Raw genomic sequence first — 22,394 nt, 5'->3', positions numbered from 1 at the left:
AGTCCCAGCTACTCAGGAGGCTGAGGTGGGAGGGTTGCTTGAGCCCAGGAGGTCGAGACTGTAGTGAGCCATGTTTGTGCCACTGCACTCCAATCTGGGTGACAGAGCAAGACCCTGTTTCAAAAAATAATAATAATGAATAAAGTAAACAGAGGGTTTTTAGGGCAGTAAAATTATTCTGTATGATGCTGTAATGGTAGATGCATGCCATTATACATTTGTTCAAACCCTTAGAATGTGCAACACCAAGAGTGAACTCTAACATAAACTATGGACTTGGGCAATAACAATATGTCAACATGGGTTCATAATCGAAACACAGGCAGCTTTCTGGTGGGGGGTGTTGATAATGGGGGAGACTGTGCCTGTGTGGGAGCAGGGGCATGTGAGAAATCTCTATCTTGTGCTTAGTTTTCTTGTGAGCCTAAAACTGGCCTTAAAAAAAAAAATAAAGTCTTAAAAAAAAAAAGTAAACAAGGCTGGGCGCAGTGGCTCACACCTGTAATCGCAGCACTTTGTGAGGCCGAGGCGGGCAGATCACCTGAGGTCGGTAGTTCAAGACCAGCCTAACCAACATGATGAAACCCCGTCTCTACTAAAAATACAAAATTAGCCAGGCATGGTGGCGCATGCCTGTAATCCCAGCTACTCAGGAGGCTGAGGCAGGAGAATTGCTTGAACCTGGGAGGCAGAGATTGCAGTGAGCCGAGATCACACCATTGCACTCCAGCCTGGGCAACAAGAGTGAAACTCCATCTCAAACAAACAAACAAACATAAATAAATGTAAACAGGCTGGGTGCAGTGGCTCACGCCTGTAATCCCAGCACTTTGGGAGGCTGAGGCAGGCAAATCACCTGAGGTCGGGAGTTCGAGACCAGCCCGACCAATATGAAGAAACCCCGTCTCTACTAAAAATACAAAATCAGCTTGGGATGGTGGCGCATGCCTATAATCCCAGCTACTCGGGAGGGTGAGGCAGGAGAATCGCTTGAACCCGGGAGGCAGAGGTTGCAGTGAGCCGAGATCATGCCATTGCGCTCCAGCCTGGGCAACAAGAGCGAAACTCCATTCAGAAAAAAAAAAAAAAATAGTAAACAGAATGGATATAATCACCTCTTTTAACAGATGAGGAAACCGAGACTCAGAGAGGTTGATTTCCGGAAGATCCATGTTCACACCCACTCTCATGACTGAGCCTTACCATCTTTCCAAGCCAGTGACCAGGCACATGGGCAGGCCACATGGGGAGTTGACTCATAGGGGACTAGAGTGGAGCTCTCCCCTGGGTCTCACTTATGGGAGAAGCTATTGCTCTTCTCTGTCAGTCAAGGAAGACTTCCTGGAAGAAGTAGGTTATTTGGGCTGGTCTTAGTGACGTTTTATTGGTTTCCTGCACTGTGCACATGGATTGTTTTGACCTCTGGCCTTGCCTTTCTCCGATGGGCAGGTCCTCGGGCCAGGTGATCTCAGGGGATGCCTGTGCCGCCACATCCACCCGTGCCATCACCAGTGCTCAGGGCGAGCATCAGATCAACCAGATCGCCCTCAGCCCTTCGGGCACCATGCTGTACGCCGCCTCGGGCAATGCCGTCCGCATCTGGGAGCTTAGCAGGTCAGCGTGATACCTGGGGAGGGAGGAGGGTTTGGCATTCCCAGGCAAGGTCCCCAGGTCTTGGTTCAGGGGGACCCACCCCAGGGTGGGTAGGACCTCAGCAACACCTTTATTCCCCCCATGCTGCTGGGCCTGTGCCCTCTCCAGTGAGACTGCTGGGATGCAGGGTAGCTCATGTCTAGATTCTTGATCTTGCCTTGAGCGAGAGGGGAGGGTGAGTACCCTGACCAGGCCTATTTGTTTTGGGGCAGACACCCCACCCCAACCCAGGGTCCCCTCTAATTCACCTACCCCTGGCTGGGCCTCTTCCCACTGCAGGTTCCAGCCTGTCGGCAAGCTGACTGGCCACATCGGCCCTGTGATGTGCCTGACGGTCACCCAGACGGCCAGCCAGCATGACCTCGTGGTGACTGGCTCCAAGGACCACTACGTTAAGGTACCTCAGCTATGAGGCCTGGGTCGGGGCTGGTCTTCCACTCTCCCCAATCTTTGCCCTCTGTTGCCCTGGGAGTACCCATGAAAAATTATAAGACTTCTGGGGATGTCTGCTGAAGAAATCACCCCAAAGAAGGCAAGAATTTATGTGCAGAAAGTTATAGATTGCAGCATTATTTTGTAACTGGTGAAAAATTCATAATAACTTAAATGTTGAAGGGTAGAATAACAATCAAATTATGGAAAATCCACTAAATGGGATGCATTGCAGCTATTAAAATGATAAATAGCAAACCAAACATGAAGTATACAAACACTAATTTGTTTGCTCTCTGATTATGCCATTGAAAACTGTCCATACACAGTCAGAAACTGAAAGGAAGCAGGCCAGGCGTGGTGGCTGACATCTGTAATCCTAGCACTTTGGGAGGCTGAGGTGGGAGGATCACTTGAGGTCAGGAGTTTGAGACCAGCCTGGCCAACATGGTGAAACTCTGTCTCTACTAAAAATACAAAACATTAACCAGGCATGGTGTCGGGCGCCTGTAGTCCCAGCTACTTGGGAGGTTGAGGGAGGAGAATCGCTTGAACCCGGGAGGCAGAGGTTGCAGTGAGCCGAGTTTGCACCACGGCACTCCAGCCTGGGCAACAGAGTGAGACTCAGTCTCCAACAAAAAAGAAACTGGAAAGAAGTAGGGTTTTCAGGGGTGGTGGGATTATGGTGAATATTTAGTAAAAATCAAAAGAATTCTAGAGGGAGGCTCACACCCTAAACCCACCCTTCTCCTTAGCAGCTGCCTGTTGAGCTGTGGGGTCTCGGCGTGATGAGCTGATTCACCCCTGCATTACTTGAGTTGGTCTCCTCCCACCCCTGCCCCAGTATCCACAGGAAGGGTCAAGATCTGAACCTTCCGTGTTCCCAGTCCCTTAGAAGGAGCAGCCCCACCTCCAGGAACCCTCGCCTGCTGGGAAGCTCCTCTCCCCAGAGGGCAGTGGCTGTCACCCTAGCCAGACTCCTGGGTCTTCAGGCCTCTGGGTCCACAGTGCTGTAGGCCCTGCCTTCCATCCTCCCACTTGGCCTCTCCCTACTGGCCCCTCCTCCCACAGATGTTCGAGCTGGGCGAGTGTGTGACGGGCACCATCGGCCCCACTCACAACTTCGAGCCCCCGCACTACGATGGCATCGAGTGTCTCGCCATCCAGGGAGACATCCTGTTCAGTGGCTCCCGAGATAACGGCATCAAGAAGTGGGACCTAGACCAGCAGGAGCTCATCCAGGTGGGGTCAGGAGGAAAGGGAGAGGGTAGACTCGGGTAGGGTGGTTTCCATAGCCCACGCAGGGCCTTGGAGACCCTGGGACCTGGACTCGCGGGCCCCAGGCCAGATGGTTTTCACAGCTCCCCAAGCCCTCCTGTTCTCCCTCTTCCTCCTCTGTCTCCATCCTCCCTTCTTCCCTACCCGCGGCCTCTCCTGATGCCACATCTCCCTCTTAGGCAACCTGCTCTCAGCAAAGCCTTTGCTCTCAGCTCTTGGGTTTGCATGTGAAGCTCAGTTACCCAATTCCTTTCCTGGGAGCATTTGTGTTTTAGCCTGACCCGTGTGAGGGCTGAAGGGTTCTCTGCCAGGGCAGGATCTTAGGCTTGAACCTGGGAAGTAGAGCAGAGGGACCCATCTCTGGTCCCCTAAAGCCCACAGCACAGGCCACCCCAGCATGGCTCCTGGAACCAGTGTCACCCGCCCGTGTGGCAGCTCTAGAGGCCAGGGGAGCCTGGAAGTAGCTCCACTACTAGCAAGAGGGGCCCTGGGGCAGGTTCTCTCCCTCATCACCTCCCCCAGCCCTCACCAGCCCTGATCCTCTCACAGCAAATCCCCAATGCGCACAAGGACTGGGTGTGCGCCCTGGCCTTCATCCCGGGCCGCCCCATGCTGCTCAGCGCCTGCCGTGCGGGTGTCATCAAGGTCTGGAACGTGGACAACTTCACACCCATCGGTGAGATCAAGGGCCACGACAGTCCCATCAATGCCATCTGCACCAATGCCAAGCATATCTTCACAGCCTCCAGGTGGGTGCTGGTCAGAGAGGTCTGCCTCTGCTCCCTCATCTCCTTCCTGGTGTGGGCAGGGGAGGCTGGGAGGCTCAGGGCCCTGCAGTTGTCCCCGCAGGCTCGGTTCACAGAGCAGATTCCATGGTGGCCTCCTTTGCATACCTAGCCTGTGCCAGCCTTCAGTGAGTGCCCACCATGTGCTGGGCACTGCGCTAGGCAGGGGAGGAGGAAGGTACTGGGCCCTGGGCCAAGCCTCGCCCGCTTGTCTCCAAGCCCTTCCTACCCTCCCCTGCCCTGGCTGTCTTCCCCCGTGCAGGTATCTCTCAGAGCACAGAGCAGCCCTGCCAGCCCCAGACCACGCCTCTTACACCCCACCCACCCGCTCTGGCCCCCTGTGTGGGGAGCAGCCAGGCCCTCTGTCCCATGGGGTGCGACTCAGATGGCTTTCTTTCTTGTTCCGACTTTGTCCCTTCTCTCCCCTCCCCTTCCCATCTCCTCCCACCTCTCCTCTCTGTCCTCGCCTCTCTCCCCACACAGTGACTGCCGGGTAAAGTTGTGGAATTACGTCCCTGGACTCACCCCCTGCCTTCCTCGCCGAGTCCTGGCCATAAAGGGCCGCGCCACCACCCTGCCCTGACCCTCCCCAACTCTCCCTGTCTCCTCTTTCATTCTTCCCCTCTTTCCTTTTCCCTCTCTTTCCCCACTTCGATCTGAGCTGCTTCTTAACGGTATGAGATTATTTTACTCCTTCTTCTTCCTTTCCCTTCCTGTCCTGCCTGGCCTAGAGAGGTGCCCTGCCTGTCCCTCCTGCACCCACCGTCCTTTTCCAAGCATGAACAGTGGGACAGGCCCCAGGAGATGGGTGCCAGGGAGCAGAAGGGGGAGCCTTCAGGCCTGGACAAAACGAAACACCCCCCCAAAAAAAGAAAACCCATGACAAAGCTCCCCTGGGGGCCTCTGAGTGCACAGGCCTCTCCATCTGCCCAGCACCCCACCACCTGCAGTCCACCTCCCCGTAAGCCATGCTTGCCTCCCAGCCCCAACCACATTTGGGGAGTTTGGGGAATCCAGTTCATCCTCTACTTTTGGGGGCAGCCAGCCAAGCCCACTGCAAGAGCTGACCGGCACCCCTCCACTTTGTCCTCCACCCCAGTGACCTGACGGTGAAGTTCTGGAGTGTCCGGCGGTTACCCCACAGCGGCCCACCCTAGGAGTGAGGTCAGAGGGATGCCCCCGGACCCTCGACCCCAGCAGCCTGGACACCATGGAAGGGAAGCTGTGACCCGGCCGATGGGGCCAGCTGCTCTGGGGACAGAGGGCGTGGCCCCCTCTCCTGCCCTCCTCCCTCTCCCTTGGCCTTCCCACAGGACACTGTTCCCTCATCCCTCCCCTGCCTCTCAGGAGCCTCTGGGTGAGAGAGAGGCTGGGGAGGAAATTAAGCTGTGAAGCCAAAGGGCATTATCCCTTCTTGTTCCCCTCCTGGCAGTCGTGGCCACATTGTCTCCTGCTGAACCGGCTCTGCCCCTTTCTCAGGCCTTTGGCCCAGTGGTGGAGCCCTGTGGGGAGGTGCAGCAGCCTGGCCCCATCCCACCCTTCCGAGGAGCTGGCCTCCCCGCTTCTCCCAGCCCAGCCTCTAGAGCCACTGCACCTGCCTCTGAGCCCAAAAAGATAAGTCCTCAGGTAGCTAAGGAAACCAGGTGTGGGCGGCTGGGCCTTGCAGCTAACCCTTAACCCTCTGGCAACCCGCAGATAGCCCCAACTGGCCCCAACAGTTCCCTGGGGTCCCTTTTGGATGGGGCCAAGGTGGAGCTGCTAGAAAGATTCCTTTGGGGAGATGGTCAGAAATACTTCAGTTATTTATTATTTTGTTATTTTTATTTTTTGCTGTTGCCTCCTGGAAACGGACTTGAAGTTTCTTCCCCTATATTCTTTCCCTCAGCTCTTGGGGGCCAGAAATCCCAAAGGGAGTCCGCTGCCCCGGCCCTCCAGGGCCGCCTCCTCTGTTTGCTTTGCAGAGGAGGGAACTGCTCCTTCGACTCTGCAGCTCAGGCCTGTCCCCGACACAGCCCCCAGGGAGTCTTCTAGCTACCCCTGGCCTCTAGGCCGCCTGACGCTCAGTGCCTTCCTCCGTTCCGGGGCCTGGCACCCGTGCCGGGCAGCCTTACACCAGCCATGCCCGCGGCACCACATGTGTCTTCTCACTCGCGAGGTCTTGTGCCCAGCGCCCCCGGGAAGGCGGGGGCGCTCACCCCACAGCCCAGGCCCCGGGGTTCTGCCCCACAGTCCTGCGTGGGCCACGTAGGAAGCAGCATGGGGGCTGTGTCTGCTGGGAGGTGGCTTGGATGGGGAGGACAGCCCGGCACCCTGACCCCCGCCCCTCCCCAGCCCTGCAGTCCCCCACTGGGCCGGGGAGTCTCTCCAGCTTCTCTCTCTCTGGTTATTCAGGAGACACATTTTCGGCCTTAAAACTGGCATGGAGCGCAGGCCCTCCCTTGCAGAAAATTATCAAGGAAGAGGGAGTTGGCAGAGTTTCTCTGCCCCGGGGCTGGGGACGCGGAGCTCCGGGGAAATTGTTAAATCAGTGTTCTGGCGCCCCCTGTTGGGGGAACTCTGGAATTACAGGAGTGGGCCTTGGGGGGGACTGAGCTCCATCCCTCTCCCCCGCCCCACCCCCACCCAAAGTTGCCCACCCTGTTTTTCCGTTGCATCGCTGGTCTTGTGCTTCCCGCTTCAGTCTGGGAGCCAAGAGCCAGCCCCACCTCCCTTCAGAGGACGCAGTGACTTTTGGACTTTCCAGAGGTGGTTCTGTGTTTCTGCCCTTGGCTCCTCTCCGTCTTGGGCTGGGGCACTTGGAGCCCTCTCCATGTGGCGCCCAGTGTTGGGGGGAGGCAGGCTCCAGTGGAGGCTGAGTGAGGCCTGGTCCCTTCCCCGTGCCCTCCTCGGAGCTGCCACAGAGGCTAAGACGGCTGTCCTGCTGGTGCTGGCCCTGCTGGATGTGGTATTGAAGTCTGGGGCAGCTGATAGCAGGAAGGAGACCCCCTTGGATGCTGGTCTCCTGGGACCTGAACAGTCTGTCAGCAATGGCTGGAAATCCTTCTTCCTCTGGCCACCCCGGGGGTGCCGGGCAACCCCCTTAGCTCTAAGATGTGGCCACAAATCTCTTCCCACTCCTCCCCGCCAACCTGAACAGAAAGTTTTGACCTTGCAACCTGTAAGAAAGAATCCGTCCGCATGACTGTTTACAAGCGATAGAAACACGTAAGACTCTGTCCCCTTGAGCTCCCACCCCCGGGCCGGGGATGCCCCACCTGGGGTGACTGCACTGTAGCTGCAAGGCGTGTTCTTGCACGAAGTGTGATCTTATGGCCCTGCGAGAGGTGCTCATCATCATGCCCATTTTCTGCTGTTTCTGATGGGTCAGCTACCTCACGGCGGGGCCAGCTCTGCTGTCCTGGCAAGTGTCATTGACTCTCTAAACTTGAAGTCCTTCAGGAGCCCTGAGCCCAACATCCATGAGACACCCCGAGTTGTGCTTCATGAGAGTTGGATTCTCTGCCCACTCTTTCAGGGATGTCCAAGGTCCATGTTAGGGGGCAGGCCCCCAGCTCCACTCACTGCACAAGCACCCTAAATGTTGGAAGCACAAAATGGTTGTGATTTGAGCACAATGGCAGGGTCCCGCAGGCAGACTTGACAGGCCCAGGCCCGGGAGGATCCCCCCACGTTGGCTCTGTCCAAAGTGAGATTGGGGGTGCCTGTGTCTGGGACAGGGGGCTGCCCTTGCTCAGACCAGGCCTTGGCTCATGGCTTGTCCTAATTCTGGGACTCGTCATCTTACTTCTTGCCCTTCTGTGCCCATCTTAAGACTGGAGGCTGAGCCTTGTCAGGCCCAGCCACATCTTTACGCCATGGGACCAGGAGTAAAGCGCTCTCTAAACCCCGCACCCCAAATCTCTAAACGCCTGAGTTCAGGCTGAGTCCTAGCCCTAGTGAGCCTGAAGAGCTTGGACTGATTCCCAGTCTCCTGGGTCAAGCCCCACTTTGTGCTTTCGAAGCTTATGAGCGGGTTCCCTGGATAGAAGGAGTCTTCCATCCCCACTGCCCTTGGGCCTCTTCAGCATAGTCCTGTGCCAGGGCCCTGTCCTCACTATCAGTCAGTTCAGTATTTGCTTTCACGTGAGTGGCGGACTCTTCTGAAGCAGCCAGAACTCTCAAAGGCAGCGCATGGAGTTGCCTTGCGAGATTTCCAAGGAAGGAGGAAAGATTAACAGGCGGAGCCTGGCACACCCAAGCCTTTGAGGTGGTCAGAGTGCCACCTTCAGCCCCTTGGGAAGGGACAGCGGTGGGTCTGGGAGTGGCCTCACCCTGGATTCAGCCTAGGAATCTCTTCACCCTCAGCTGTCCAGCCCTGCTGCCTGTCTGGGGATGTGTGGCCTGGGCAGAGGGCAGTTTAAAGCACAAAACCACATGGGGAAAACACAAGGTTGCGGGGACTTTCTCATGTGCCTGATGTGGTGGAGGGAGACACCAGCAGGTGGCTGCAGTGACGTTAGGGAACATAACACTTCTTTGCCCTGCTAGCTCTCAGCTCTGGGGGGCATCCCCCGATGTGGTCTGGGCTGGGAGCAGGCATATCCCCTGGTTGTTGCCTGTGCCTGGTCTGTTCACCATCGTGTTTGTGTGGGCAGAGCCTGCCCTGCAGGAGCAGTGACTTTCTTCCCACTGTGTGTCCCGGACCTGTGGTATGTGTCCCTTTGCCATCCCAAACAGGCAACTGCTTGCTGCTCTCCTTGCTTGGCATAGCCTCCTGGTCAGTGGCCAATGCCCCACAGGCCTTCCTGGGCCTGGCCCTCCTCTCCTGACTCCCAGATCCTTCCCTGCCCTCTTGTGTGCAAGGACAGATTTTGCAGGGAAAGTTCTGTTTCTTCTTTGATACCTTTGTTCTGTCCCCTGCCCCATCCCCAGCACTCATGATCTTGAAGCCCCTATCACACTCTAGTTCAGTCCTGTGAACCATGTCCTGAGGGCCTTGCAGGGAAGTAGGAAATAGAAACTCCTCCACAAAGAGCCGAGGATCAGAGAAGACCCCTGAGATGAATCAGGGCCCTGCCCTGCCCACCAACTCTTTTCTAGCAATCATGTCCTGCCCAGGCTGCAGGCTTCATTAGGCTCCTGCTGTCCTCCATGATGTGACTAGCACAAGGTGTATATATGTTTTGTACCTCTGCCGATGGCTGTACATAGTGTATGAAAGTTATTTAAGCCCCATGTTGTACATTTCTGTTCCTAGATTGGATGTGTGTGTTCTAAGAAGTTGTCATAAATAAAACCTGAATGACCAATGTCTGTGGAGGTGTCCCCTGTCCCCTTCCAGGGGGCTGCTGACTTTTGGCTGGGGCCTTTGGAGAGGGAGTTGGTGGTGGTGGTGGGTGGGTGGGTGAATGGGTGCAGCAGGCCTCTGGGGCTGGGCCCAGCCTGATGAGAACTTCCTGAGCTGTGAGTTTGGGGCTTCACCAGTTAGAAAGCAGAGAGCTTTGAGAGCGTCACATTCTCCTCCAGACTCCATATGTTGTCTCCAGAGGCAGGTGCAGTTGCTGGAAGAGTGGGCAGCAGCATTTGTGGACCAACTGCTATATCCTAGGCACTGTTCAGAGCATTTTTCATTGTGTCTTCACTGCCCTGTGTGACAGGTGACATTCTCATTTTATGAAATGAGAAAGGTCTCGGGATGGATGTGACTTTCCCAGGATCACAGCTAGTAAGGACAGAGCCAGGATCTGCATCTAGACCTCCCCAACCACAGCAGCCTTTGCCTTTTGCTAACGTAACACGTACCTCTCTAGGGCCTGGACTACGCTGTGCGTGGTGCACGCCAAACGCATCTCGGTCCCTTGCCACTTATGGAAAGAAGGCAAGACTATAAAAAGATCATACAAGAAAAGAGCTCTACAAAGGTCTTTTCTTTTCTTTTTAAATAGAGATGGGATCTCACTATGTTTCCCAGGCTGGTCTCGAACTCCTGGGCTTAAGCCTTACCTCCCATCTCAGTCTCCCAAAGTGCTGGGATTACAAGCGTGAGTCACTGTGCCTCACCATGATTTTTGTCCTAGATCAGTGCTTTTCAGTCTTTAAGAACCCATATTCCCTTTTGATAACCATGAATTGTTTCACCAACTCCTGGAGATTCCGGCCCATCCCCTGGGCAGAGAGGCCCCTCGGGGAGAATCCACATCTTCATCACCAGCCACAACTGATTAAAAAGCTTAACTTCCTGATATTTGTATCAGGAATATAATAGGGTTTCTCTTTGCTTTGTTTCCCAAATATAAAACCAAATTGCTTCCTCAGCCTGCGCAGGTCCCCTGCTGTTTGTCCAGACTTATGGATGTGACAGGTGCTCTGGCCAGGGAATTCCTGGAGTCTGTAGGAGGCAGAAGTCACCGTGGGTGGGAGGGTGAAGCTTCCTGGGGAAGGTTTCCTCTAGAGAGGCTTCTGGTCCTCAAACAGAAAGGCCTTGGTGAGTGAGAGAGGGACCCTGAGCCATGGAGGGAGACACAAGTGGGCAGAGTTGCCCTGACATGCCAGCCCCGCTGGCAGGCACAGAGCCTCCTGCCCCAGGAGCAGGGTGGCTTCTTGCGGACAGTTGTTTTTGGCTGGCTGACCCGGCATCACCCATGCCACTCCCCGCCCCACCCTCGCTCCCCACAGGTCCATATTTTGCATAGGATCCTGCCTGACAGTGGGACAGAAGAGCCCACTGTGAACTGCAGGAAGTGACACCTGGGCATGGCCAGCTGCAGACTGGGCAGGGTGTGTGGGCAAGACCCAGAGACCGGCCACTGGGGAACTGGTCACGGGCCAGACCTGGAGTGGACTCCAGCCATCTGGTTCCTTCTTGCCACTGCGCTCCTCCCTGCACCCTCCAGAAAGTTTGCAGCACAAGGTAATTTTTCCAAATGTAGTTCACCCTGTCTCTCGAGGATGCCAAGGCTCCTGCAGGGTGCAGTGGGGGACAGGAACACTGGGTTAAGAGACTCTTTTCTTCTTTTAATGTGGGGTGTTGTTTTGTTTCCAGATTACATGAATAATATCTGCTTACTTTAGAAAATTTGGAAAGCAAGAGTGTCAAGAAAAATCCCGTTTAGGATATAAGCTATGGGGCAGCTTTCCCAGGCACAAGGGAATGGCACCTCTCAGAATTTGGTAAGAGCCATTCAATTGTCAGAACTAGGTGGCATCTTAAAGGTATCTTTTCCTCAGCCTCTGAAGTTGAGTTTTAAAAACAAAGATAATGTTTTCCAACTCTCTGTTTATAAATTTACATTCTACAGAATTGAGGCCCAGAGAAGCCAACAGAGTTGGCCAAAATCATCCTGGGACAGAGATGGCCCTAGAATCCATTACTTTCCATGCATTCATTACCTTGTATTCATTATTTTATGCTTGACCAAAGTGAGGGGGTGACTTGTGGGGGTGTCAGAACAGTCTTTAAAGTGGGTCTCATCCCAATGCACTTGACCGGTTAATAGATTTTTAATAAGATCTATCTTTTATCATTGCTTGTAACAAAGCAAAACTGCCCTGGCAGAGGCAGGGCACTGCAGGGCAAGTATCCAGGCCTGAGTGTTGATGCTTGGGGTGTGGTTTGGGCTGTGCCAAGGGCCAGCCATGGTGGTGTTTCTATAGAGCAGCGCTGTCCCTGGCTCTGTGGTACCCAAACTCTCTGATCTTCTGGGATGTTTTTCACTAACAATCCTTTAATAAATCACTTTCCTTCTTAAGCCAACTGGAGTGGACTCTGTTGCTTACAACTGCATTCTAGAACACCTCATGTGTGCCAACATTACTTCTCCCTCGGCTCATAGTTGAAGTTGGTTCAAAAGAAATGGCTGGCTCTGGCCTCAGACCCATGGCTGAATGGGAGAAGGGAACAGAGGGGCAGAGCAGGGAGAGGTCAGCCTAACCCAGATGTGCATAGGCAAGAAGGCGGCTTACAAGTGGCTCTACCCCAGAAGGCCAAGAATTGACTGGAAAGACAACATAATAGCTATTTTCACAAAGGTGCATACTTTTTCCTTTTATTACAAAGATTCTGCAGGGATACACCTCCATTTCTAGTGCAGGACCCAGGAATCTGGCCCCATTGTCACAGGGTCTAATGGCCAGGCCTACATCTGAGACTCAAGGATGCAGGCTCAGAAGTAGTGCCTTTGGGGCCTCCTCCTGCAGAAGCAGGAGGTTGGGGGCTTGGCCAGTAGCAGCTTCTTCTTGGCTTCCAGGATATGGAAAGTCTGCGTGGTGAGGCAGCTGACCGTGGGGTTGGAGTCTCTCTGCATGTGCCGTAGGGCTGAAACACAGAGAAAGTCCTAGTGGGCTGGGTAGGAGGGCCTAGGCCCTGTGGTGCAGACATGTACCGGGCAATGGGGTCGGGACTGGTGGATTTTAAACTATGAGCAAGAGTTTCTTCTAGGAGTCCACAATGCTCCATTACAAGCAAGACCACATAGCTGCCATGAGCACAGGGAGATGCGAGGCCCACCTGCTCCTGACCCTACACCCATTACCAACCCACTCACTCCTCTCCACTGCCCCTCCCTGGCCCTGCGTCCTCTCTTTCCCATAGAATAGCTGTGTGTGAAGTTCTCTGACTTCAAAAAGAGCTGCAGCCAGGGACTCGACCACACATGGGAGCCCAAAACTGTCTCTCCTACAAGAAACCCAAGGGACCCTCCTGGCTGATGAATGGGCTCCGTGGTGGTGAGGGTGTGAGTGAACATGGGGCAGGAGGGCTCTGACCAGCACCTCAAAACCTAAGCACCTTGGGGATGAGCCTGCCTTTTCACACGTCTGGATGATCATTTTTGTGAGTCCATCCGCTCACTTTTCCTAACTTCTGAGCATTCCCCACCAACACCGGTGCCACTAAAAGATGCAAGGAGGGGGCGACTGGGCTGCCACTCACCTGTGTATGCCTCCTCAATTTCATCGATCTCTTCCAAGTCTAGGGTTTGGATAATCTGACCTACAGGAGCACACAAAAGCACCTCAGAGGCCCCACAAGGAATCAGTGGGGCCCTGGCTGCAAGTACTCTTGGCCCCCTTCCCAGACACTCACTATTCCCTCCTTTTTCCTGTCTTTCCCTCCCTTGGCCACCAGCCTCAGGTTTGGACTTTTCCCATAAAGTCAAACTTGTGTCCCTTGCTTCTCTGAAGGATTCTAAGCAAATAGGGCTGGGTGAAGGAGTGGATCTTCCTCTGCCCTGAAGAGCTCTTCCCTGGGGTGATCTGAGGCAGTCCCCCGCCTATCTCTGAACTTCCCCCACTGAGCAGCTCCCAGACCCCGGATGCCCCACCCTTTGTCTCTCTGCTGGCTCGTAGGACTTGGCACATTCTGCTGTAGGAAGATTACCACCCAACCCGACCAGGAGTTTCCTGCAGGGGAGGGAGCAGGTAGGCACAGGTAGGCACTCCCACCTCCAGTCCCACCACCCAACATAATTCCCATGGGTTCTGTATGTCCTCATGTCCTGGGTGCCCAGTCTGTTTAAGGGACCCTACAACAAGGACACAGTGGCTCCAAGAAGACAAAAGGCCATACCTGCAAACCACACAGCTGCCCAGCGGATGGGAACCTATGGGCTCTTGAAGAGAGCCACACACTGCTTCAGAAACCAGAGGGCTTTGTTTGTCTCCTGATCCAGCTGTAAGAAAAGGTGTCAGATTATGGCAGGGACCCTCAGACAGTTTTGAGATTACACTGGAGCCATCCCCTGAGGGCAAAAATCTGTCAAAACCGTCTCCTTCTCCATCCCCTCCTACCCCGGCTCCTGAAATCTTCTTTCTTTCATGAAGCCTTCCTGGACTGAACATGCCACAGAGATCATACTCCCTGGCCTTGACGCAGTTTGAGCATGAAACTCATAAGAGGTTGGCCCCACTGTTTGGCTCATACATTTTTTTCTCCTACTCCCAACAATAGAGTGAACCCTGTTGCTTAAATCCTGTTTATTTCTATCTTAGTTTAAATCTTCAATCTCAAAGTCATATGCTTTAGGTTGCAAAAGATCATGCCTACAGCATTCTGTTTAAGCAGAGCCTTAGTCACATCAACACAAAGATGGGAACAATAAACACTGAGAATCCCAAAAAAGAGGAGGAAGGGAACAGGGCAAGAGTTGAAAAACTACCTATGGCCTATGTTCACTCCTTGGGGATGGGAACATTAGAAGCACAAACCTCAGCATCACACAATATACCAATGTAACAAGCCAGCACCCACACCCCCGAATCTAAAGTTCTTAAAATAGGCCGGGTACAGTGGCTCACACCTGTAATCCCAGCATTTTTGGAGGGCCAAGGCAGGCAGCTCGCCTGAACTCAGGAGTTCAACACCAGCCTGGGCAACATGGTGAAACCCATGTCTACTAAAATACAAAAAATTAGACGGGTGTGGTGGTGTGTGCCTGTAGACCCAGCTACTCAGGAGGCTGAGGAAGGAGAATCACTTGAACCCAGGAGGCGGAGGTTGCAGTGAGCCGAGATTGCGCCACTGCAGTCCGCAGTCCGGCCTGGGCGACAGAGCGAGACTCCGTCTCAAAAAATAAATAAATAAATAAATAAATAAATAAATAAATAAATAAATAAATAAAATAAAATAAAATAAAATATTTAAAATAAATAAATAAAAATAACAGAGCCTAGCAGTGCTGCATGTAATTACGTGTTTTCATATCCTCCATCGCCTGCCTAGGAATGCAGCCCCTTCTGCATTCATCAGACTTCCATCCTTGAAGGTTCAAAGGATGATGTGTCCTTCCCTTTGCAACAACCACTAACCCAAACCCCATCTCCTGCATCTCCTTCCTAGCTCTGATCCTAACTCTCCTCTTTCACTCTGCAGTCTAAGTTCTTAAAACAGAAGGCTACATCCATGGTTTTTCCCAACTTCTTTTGACAGGATCTTTTCTTCAAAAAGAAATCTTAACTGGAAACCCAATATCCCAAACTAACAGAAGGGGTGGGGGGGCAGGTGTGGTGGCCCACGCCTGTAATCCCAGCACTTTGGAAAGCCAAGGCAGGAGGATCACTTGAGCTCAGGAGTTGGAGACCAGCCTGGGCAACATGGCAAGACCCTGTCTCTACAAAAAAAAGAAGGAGAAGGAGAAAGAGAAGGAGAAGTGGGGCTGCTTGGGTTGAAGGAGGTGGGGAGGCTGAGCCTAGCCTGCCTGCTCATCTCTCCCATCTTTTGAAGTTACCCGAGAAACCCTTGGGTTTTTGTACCCTTGACTGCTTCCTGAAACTGGTCATGGTCCTTCCTAGGTGACCATGACTCTCCTCTCTTGTTGTCCTCCTTTGACTTTCTGCCTGGTTTCCTTTTCTAGTCTCCTCTGTGGGATCCTTGGAACTGATGTCTCCTGGAATCTCAGTGTTGACTCATATACTCCTCCCACCACACAATTACCTTAGGAGAGCATGTCTGGGCTTAGGGTTGCAATCTCCATCTACCACCCAATGGTATGCTCAGCGTTCACCAAACACAGCCCTGTTCTCCAAGCTTCAGTGATACATATCTAACTTCCAATGGAATAGATGTACTAGCATTCTCACAGATTTTACAAGCTCAACATGCCCAAAATCAAGCCACCACCTTCCCCTCCACACCTGTTCCTCCCTCTGTATTTCTGACCTCAGTCCAGGACACCAGCATTCACCCATGTCAGAAGCCAAGAGGCAACTTTTACTTCCACAGTTCACATCAAATCAATCTCCACAACTAGCTAATCCCGCCCATGCCTTTGTCTTCTTGACTTCATCATTTCTCCCCAGACACTCTCCAGCACAGGCTCCAATTCCGTCCCTTGGGAATGTTTCTCTGATCTGTAGCTTGGGTGATTTGTGTGAAATGCACAGCTCTGTAACCATGCTACCCACTTGCTTAAAACGCTTCAACAACTCCCCTTGCCTACAGCCTCAAGTCCTGCTCCTCACTGGGCCCAAACCTCCACAGCACAGTGTGGCCCAGCCTCCTGCTTCCTGCTTGGTGTCTCCTGCCCAGACCGGACTGCACACTGACAGTCCATGAGCAAAGCCAGCCTGAAGATATTTTTTTTTGTTTGATCTACGCAGCATTTTACATTTTAAATTATTTGCCAACATTAATGGGGGAAATTTCACCCCAATCAGGATTTCCTGCTTTCTTTTTTAATTTTTTTTTTTTTTTGAGACAGAGTCTTGCTCTATCACCCAGGCTGTAGTGCAGTGGCGCGATCTCAGCTCACTGCAACCTCCGCCTCCTGGGTTCAAGCGATTCTCCCGCCTCAGCCTCCCGAGTAACTGGGATTACAGGCGTCCACCACCTCGCCTGGATAATTTTTGTATTTTTAGTAGAGTCAGGGTTTCCCCATGTTGGCCAGGCTGTTTCAAACTCCTGTTCCCAGGTGATCCAGCCACCTTGGCCTCTCCAAGTGCTGGGATCACAGACGTGAGCCACCGCACCTGGCATCGATTTCCTGCTTCTCTTAACAACCCTGAGCCACTTTCCTAGAAACAATTGGTGGGTTCTCAACTGGGGACTGTACTGTGTGGAGGGAATTATGGAACTGGGGGATGTTTATGGTTTTCAAAATGATGAGTGGGGGTACACCTATTTCTAATATCCCATTACACATTTATGTCTCTCAAAAACCTACTTATAATAATCCATGCCTAGAAATTGGCTTTTTTAGATAACAGAGAACTTTTTCACAGTTCAACTACATACTGGATTTTCTAGGAATGCATCTGCAATAGACATCAAAGACTATACTTCATCTTGTTCAGAAAGTCATCAGACTTTCTGGTCTAATCAGACTTCCCTGGTGTGGGGGGAGCTATTAATATAATCATTTTGGAAGTCCCATCACCAACGGTGACCCTTCTTGTGGTATGAGTCTCCAACTCCTATAACATTCTGCATTTGTAGCAGATCCATTCACATTGATTCTATGGAGAGGGGCAAGGATTCATGCACATCATTTTCTTCTAAAGTAACTGGGCCCTGGCAGGGCGTAGTGGCTCATACCTATAATCCCAGCCCTTTGGGAGGCTGAGGTGGGCGGGTCACCTGAGGTCAGGAGTTTGAGACCAGCCTGGTCAACATGATGAAACTCCGTCTCAAAAATAAAAAGAAACCCCGTCTCTACTAAAAATACAAAAATTAGCCGGGCCTGGTGGCAAGCACCTGTAATCCCAGCTACTCGGGAGCCTGAGACAGGAGAATCGCTTGAACCCGGGAGGCAGAGGTTGCAGTGATCTGAGATCGCACCACTGCACTCCAACCTGGGCTTCAGAGTGAGACTCTGTCTCAAATAAATAAATAAATAAATAAAAAGTAACTTGGCCCAAGCATTTACATATAGTATTTATTTTCTATTATTATATTGTGTTATGCTGTATTGTGTTCCATATATTCACACAGATTATTTTGTTGTAGATTACTTTCACTTCTCCTTTGGCGTTAGGGCATTATATTACTTATTTTGGAAATATGCAAAGGTAGAGGATATTATTTACGAATTTCACTTTAGGAGAGTAAAGTTGGTGTCACTAAATGTGTGCTGTGACAACGGTGTGTGGTTTCTGGCCATGCTGAGGAGGCTGCCTGTGCTGGGCCTTGGGGCCTACATCTCTCCTCCGGGCCCACCCAGTCTGACCTCTGGTTAGTGTTTCCCACATGGCCTTGTAAGCATTTGCCTTTTCTGCCCCTGCTCTAATGATTCCAAGGCACTTATATTAATAGCTCCCCACACACCAGGCCCTTCTGCCCTTATTTCTCAGGATGGTTGTGAGGATCAAATCATACCAGATAATGTGTGCAAAGTCCCTGGAACAGAGTGAGTGCTTTGCTCCACACCCCTGTGTACAGCATCACCTTGGCCTGCACTCTTGATTCCGTCCCTTTGCCTAAGTGTTACCCTGCCTTCTATTTCTCCTTCTGAAGATGACACCTCCTCCAGGAAGCCTTCCTTCAACTCCCAGACTGTGCTGGGTACCCCTCCTTTGCCTTTCCCAAAGTATTCTGGGATTGTCTACTTGTGTGCCTAGCTCCCCAATTCAGACAGGAAACAAGGGGAGGGCAGGAACCATATCTAGGTGCTGAGCATAAAGTAGGTGCTTAATGAGTCTCTCATCGTTGAACTGTTGCTGCTGCCCGCTGCCACTACTGCTGCAAACCCCAGAGCTGCAGGAAAAGGACCTAGACCGCTGGGGATGCCACCCTCCCTCGCATAGGGGCAGACAGTGAGCAAGCTGCTGGCTTACCAGGGCTCCAAGAATGTTCCACACATCTTTCTCTGCAAATACTGCTTTCAGCTTTGACCAGCCCAGCACGGCAGCAGTGTGGCAGAGGGCAGACCGGCAGATCTGGGAGACAAGGAGGCTCAGCATGAGGAGCTGGGGAGTGGCACTGGGCAGGGACACAGAGGGGTGCAAAAAACGGAGACAAGCGGCATCACATTCAGCCTCGATGGGATGGAAATCTCACTGGTGAATCGACAGGGATCCAGGGCTTAGGAAAAAGGCAGGGGTCCAGGCAGCTTGGCTCTACTTACAACCCCCTTTTCCCACTAATAAGAAGTTTAAAAATTACAGTTCTAACAATTTTCCCAATTGTTGTGGTGTGACACTGCGACCCGGAGCACTGGAACTATCCAGCTCAGAGCCTTATTCACCAGAGACATGGCTTCCCACGCCGCCGCCCCCCCATCCTCCCTGCCCCACAAAACAGTCTCTCTGAAAACAAATTTCCCCGAAGTCTTAATCCCCCAACTGGGTGGTCACTGTTCTAAATCAGGGCTGGCTCTGTCAGGAATACCACGGCTGAGTTCACCGGTGGGACACCCCCGCGCAAAGATAATATCCCCATTCAATCGCTTGCCCAGCCGGCCTCAGATGCGCCTAAGAGGCCTCAGTGACGGCAGAGTAGCCTGCTCTGTGGAAACAAGGTGTCCTGTCACAGAGTAAGTCAGCCAGTCTTCAAGTGTTCAAGCTGCAGTTCACGTTCCTGGGTCTCCTGGGCTCAAAGCTGGACTCATTCATTCCGAAATGTAGGCCAGTTCCAGGCCGTCTCTATTCTGCCCACCACACTGCCTCCCACGGGGTCTTCCCGACCCAGGGAACTCTGTCTCTATTCACAGGCAGAGAGTATGCAGAGAGCAGCATGGAGAGGGGCCCCCTGGAGCCACAGGCAGGGAGGCAGAGAGAGGGACTGCTGCCCGTCGATGAGACTTTCCTCCCAGGAGAAACACCCACAGTATTCCACTGGGAGTCAGTGGCCAACCAGATGGAGCCAGAAGCTGGAGAAAACTTTAGTGCAAGCCATGGACACAGGAAGGGGAACATCACACACCGGGGCCTGTTGTGGGGTCGGGGGAGGGGGGAGGGATAGCATTAGGAGATATACCTAATGTTAAACGACGAGTTAATGGGTGCAGCACACCAACATGGCACATGTATACGTATGTAACAAACCTGCATGTTGTGCACATGTACCCCAAAACTTAAAGTATAAAAATAAAAAAAAAAACTTTAGTGCAAGCGTCTGTTCATCTCTAGTCTCTCACTAAAACTCTGCAAGGTCAGAGACTAGTTGACTCCTTCAGCACCATCCAGTACTGCCACAGCCCTGCCTAAGCACTCAACATGTTTAGCATTTACCTCCCATGAAAACGGGGACTGAAGGCCAGGCTCCAAGGCCTGGCCTCTCACCAGAGACACATCGGTATTCACGTCCCTCAGGTGGAGCACCAGGGGGACTAGCAAGTTGAGGATCTGGTGTTTCAAGGGGAAGACAAGGCCCCTCTTCTTGACCTTGGTCAAGAGACTCCCATAGATCTCAAAGGCTGCCAACCGCAGATGCTCTGACACCTGGGAGAGAAGACACGCATGCGTGGGGAAGCAGAAGCCATCACGTCCCTGAGCTCCACCCCCGCCAACCCCACACTCCTGTGTCCATTCGCTCCCTCAAATGACCTGCTCTGACCCCCGCCTGCTGTGCTCTGTTCTCTTGCTCCATCTCACCCCTTCAGAAAGATACAAGGAGGGCAGGAGCAATCAAGTCCCTACAGAACAGTATCGTATTCAAGGTGAACGACCTTGAATCATTCTGCCAACTCTGTGAGGGGTTTTGTTTTTTGTTTTGTTTGAGACAGGATCTCGCTCTGTCGCCCAGGCTGGAGTGCATGGCACGATCACAGCTCACTGCAGCCTTGACCTCCTGGGCTCAAGCAATCCTCCTGCCTCAGCCTCCCAAATAGCTGGGGCCACAAGCGCATACCACCGGACTCAGCTAATTTGTTGTTGTTGTTGTTTTGTTGTTGTTGTTAGAATGAGGCCTCACTATGTTGCCCAGGTTGATCTTGAACTCCTGGCCTCATGTGATCCACTGCCTCGGCCTCCCAATGTGCTGGGATTACAGGTGTGAGCCACCACACGCGGCCAACTCCCTTATTTTACAGATGCCTAAAGAAAGAAAATGACCCCAGAGAGGCCTTCACCTCCTCAAAGAAGGGCACCAGCGTGAAGGTGAGCTGGGTCAGGAAGGAGGAGGAGTGCTGCCAGGTGAGGTGGCTCAGGAGATTCTTCAGCACCAGCAAAGTCTCCAGTACGATGTCGCTGTTCGAGGAGTAGCAGCAGTTCAGCACATAGGGCTGGAGGATTCGGAGCCGCCTCACCTGCGGGAGACAGTGGCTCAGGGAATGGGGAGCTGGGGAAATAACTCCTGCCAAGCCAAGGAATTCTCATTTCAAGTCAATTCAGCCCCACAATTGAGAGCCACACTCTACTGCTTTTTCATTCCAGAGCTGGGACTGGCCCAGCATCTGGGTGGCCATCGGAGTGAGCTGCCCAGGAGGGCATTTGGGGAGGTACCTTGTGTCCATCATGAGGGAAGGGGAGAAAACAGAGGAGGCCCCCTCCTCCCACTACACTGTAAGTTTCCATCGCCACTGCGCTTCTCATCCCTGATGATGACAGCAATCTCCAAGGGACCTGGATGACGTGTGAGATCCTGGGGTTAGCTTGGTCTATTCTCTGAAATGACCCATGAAAAAACTTCCTCAGGAGACCTTTCCTGGGAGGGAGAAATCATGAATGGCTCAAGCCCCAACTCCTGTCTGTGCTGTACTGGCCTCATGAGGATTTGCTCTCTTTGATCCCAAGAGTGTGTCCCACCCTATCTATAACTGGACACACCAGATGTTCCTTCTCCTGGTTACATCTCCTGAGCGCACACCCTTAGCCCCTGCCCCATTTTACCATGTTTTCATGCTTCGCAAAGACCTCTAGCATCTGCAGCAATGGCTTCACTGTGGCTGGCTCCTCACTCTTGAACCAGTTTGCCAGAATGCAGGTGGTGAAGTCATCCACTAAGGCTGCCACATCTGGGCACTGAAGCAGCTGGGGAAGGGAGACCAAGAAAGACAGGTGGGCAAGGAGAAAAAAAAATCCTCAATGACTTTGGACTAGGTTCCTACTCACTAGTAGGGAAATGTTCTTAAGGGTTTAGAATTGGTAGAGAGGCCAAAGCTTTAAGGATGAATTTGCACCTGTCATCCCAGAAGTCATTTATTCATTCTCCAAGTTTTCCTTAAGCATTTTCTTTTTTTGAGATGGAGTCTTGCTCTGTCGCCCAGGCCGGAGTGCAGTGGTATGATCTCGGCTCACTGCAACCTCCACCTCCCGGGTTCAAGCAATTCTCTTGCCTCAGCCTCCTGAGTAGCTGGGACTACAGGCATGTGCCACCATGCCCACCTAATTTTTGTATTTTTTAGTTGAGATGGGGTTTCAGAATGTTGACCAGTCTGATCTTGAACTCCTGACCTCAGGTGATCCACCCGCCTTAGCCTCCCAAAGTGCTGGGATTACAGGCATGAGCCACCACAAACCTGGCCCCTTAAGCATTTTTTTTTTTTCCAGATGGAGTCTCACTCTGTCGCCCAGGCTGGAGTGCAGTGGCACGATCTCGGCTCACTGCAACCTCCACCTCCCGGGTTCAAGCGATTCTCCTGCCTCAGCCTCCCGAGCAGCTGGGACCACAGGCATGTGTCACCATACCTGGCTAATTTTGTATTTTTTGTAGAGAGGGGGGTGTCACCATGTTGGCCAGGCTGGTCTCGAACTCCTGACCTCAGGTGATTCACCCGCCTAACCTCCCAAAGTGCTGGGATTACAGGTGTGAGCCACCACGTCCAGCCGCATTAAGCATTTTTGATAAGGGAAACTGCAGGAGATAAAAGTAAGAAATGCACTCTGCCCTCAAAGATC

The 22,394-nt window shown here is 52.7% G+C and overlaps 1 protein-coding gene and 1 pseudogene across 8 annotated transcripts in view, besides 2 other annotated features; one reads left to right on the top strand and one right to left on the bottom strand.

Moving 5' to 3' along the window:
- KIF21B (kinesin family member 21B) overlaps window positions 1–9,436 on the top strand; it is a 54,325-nt gene extending 44,889 nt beyond the window's left edge. For 3 of the 7 annotated variants that reach the window (XM_017000731.2, XM_017000732.2, XM_047449818.1), the window contains 5 exons: window positions 1,450–1,614; window positions 1,933–2,050; window positions 3,157–3,327; window positions 3,913–4,112; window positions 4,632–4,822. In XM_017000731.2, coding sequence (XP_016856220.1) covers window positions 1,450–1,614; window positions 1,933–2,050; window positions 3,157–3,327; window positions 3,913–4,112; window positions 4,632–4,731 — 754 coding nt within the window. In that variant the 3' untranslated portion in view covers window positions 4,732–4,822. Of the gene's footprint in view, window positions 1–1,449; window positions 1,615–1,932; window positions 2,051–3,156; window positions 3,328–3,912; window positions 4,113–4,631 lie in introns of all 7 variants that reach the window. The other 4 variants (NM_001252103.2, NM_001252102.2, NM_017596.4 and 1 more) reach the window with 2 other exon arrangements.
- Window positions 963–2,162: an enhancer, noted in NCBI's record as "P300/CBP strongly-dependent group 1 enhancer chr1:200945792-200946991 (GRCh37/hg19 assembly coordinates)". NCBI's record gives its function as "activates an origin of replication core promoter dependent on BRD2, BRD4, P300/CBP, MED14 and CDK7 cofactors, with strong dependence on P300/CBP, by STARR-seq in HCT116 cells {active_cell/tissue: HCT116}" and the evidence as "EXISTENCE:reporter gene assay evidence [ECO:0000049][PMID:35650434]".
- Window positions 7,572–7,751: an enhancer, noted in NCBI's record as "active region_2304". NCBI's record gives its function as "activates an Ori minimal core promoter by ATAC-STARR-seq in GM12878 lymphoblastoid cells {active_cell/tissue: GM12878}" and the evidence as "EXISTENCE:reporter gene assay evidence [ECO:0000049][PMID:35858748]".
- The window catches only part of MROH3P (maestro heat like repeat family member 3, pseudogene), a 37,725-nt pseudogene continuing 27,488 nt past the window's right edge, over window positions 12,158–22,394 (bottom strand). Inside the window, exons 9-16 of the transcript NR_147176.1 lie at window positions 21,387–21,527; window positions 21,000–21,119; window positions 20,627–20,803; window positions 19,788–19,997; window positions 18,393–18,494; window positions 13,693–13,795; window positions 13,057–13,116; window positions 12,158–12,441 (exon numbers count right to left, since the gene is read on the bottom strand). The product of NR_147176.1 is annotated as a maestro heat like repeat family member 3, pseudogene (transcript). The remainder of the gene's footprint in view (window positions 12,442–13,056; window positions 13,117–13,692; window positions 13,796–18,392; window positions 18,495–19,787; window positions 19,998–20,626; window positions 20,804–20,999; window positions 21,120–21,386; window positions 21,528–22,394) is intronic.

The sequence above is a fragment of the Homo sapiens genome, chromosome 1 (assembly GCF_000001405.40).
Source record: "Homo sapiens chromosome 1, GRCh38.p14 Primary Assembly".
NCBI classification, from domain to species: domain Eukaryota; kingdom Metazoa; phylum Chordata; class Mammalia; order Primates; family Hominidae; genus Homo; species Homo sapiens.
Note: the sequence above shows the minus strand (reverse complement) of the source record. Positions and strands in the feature narration are given on the sequence as shown.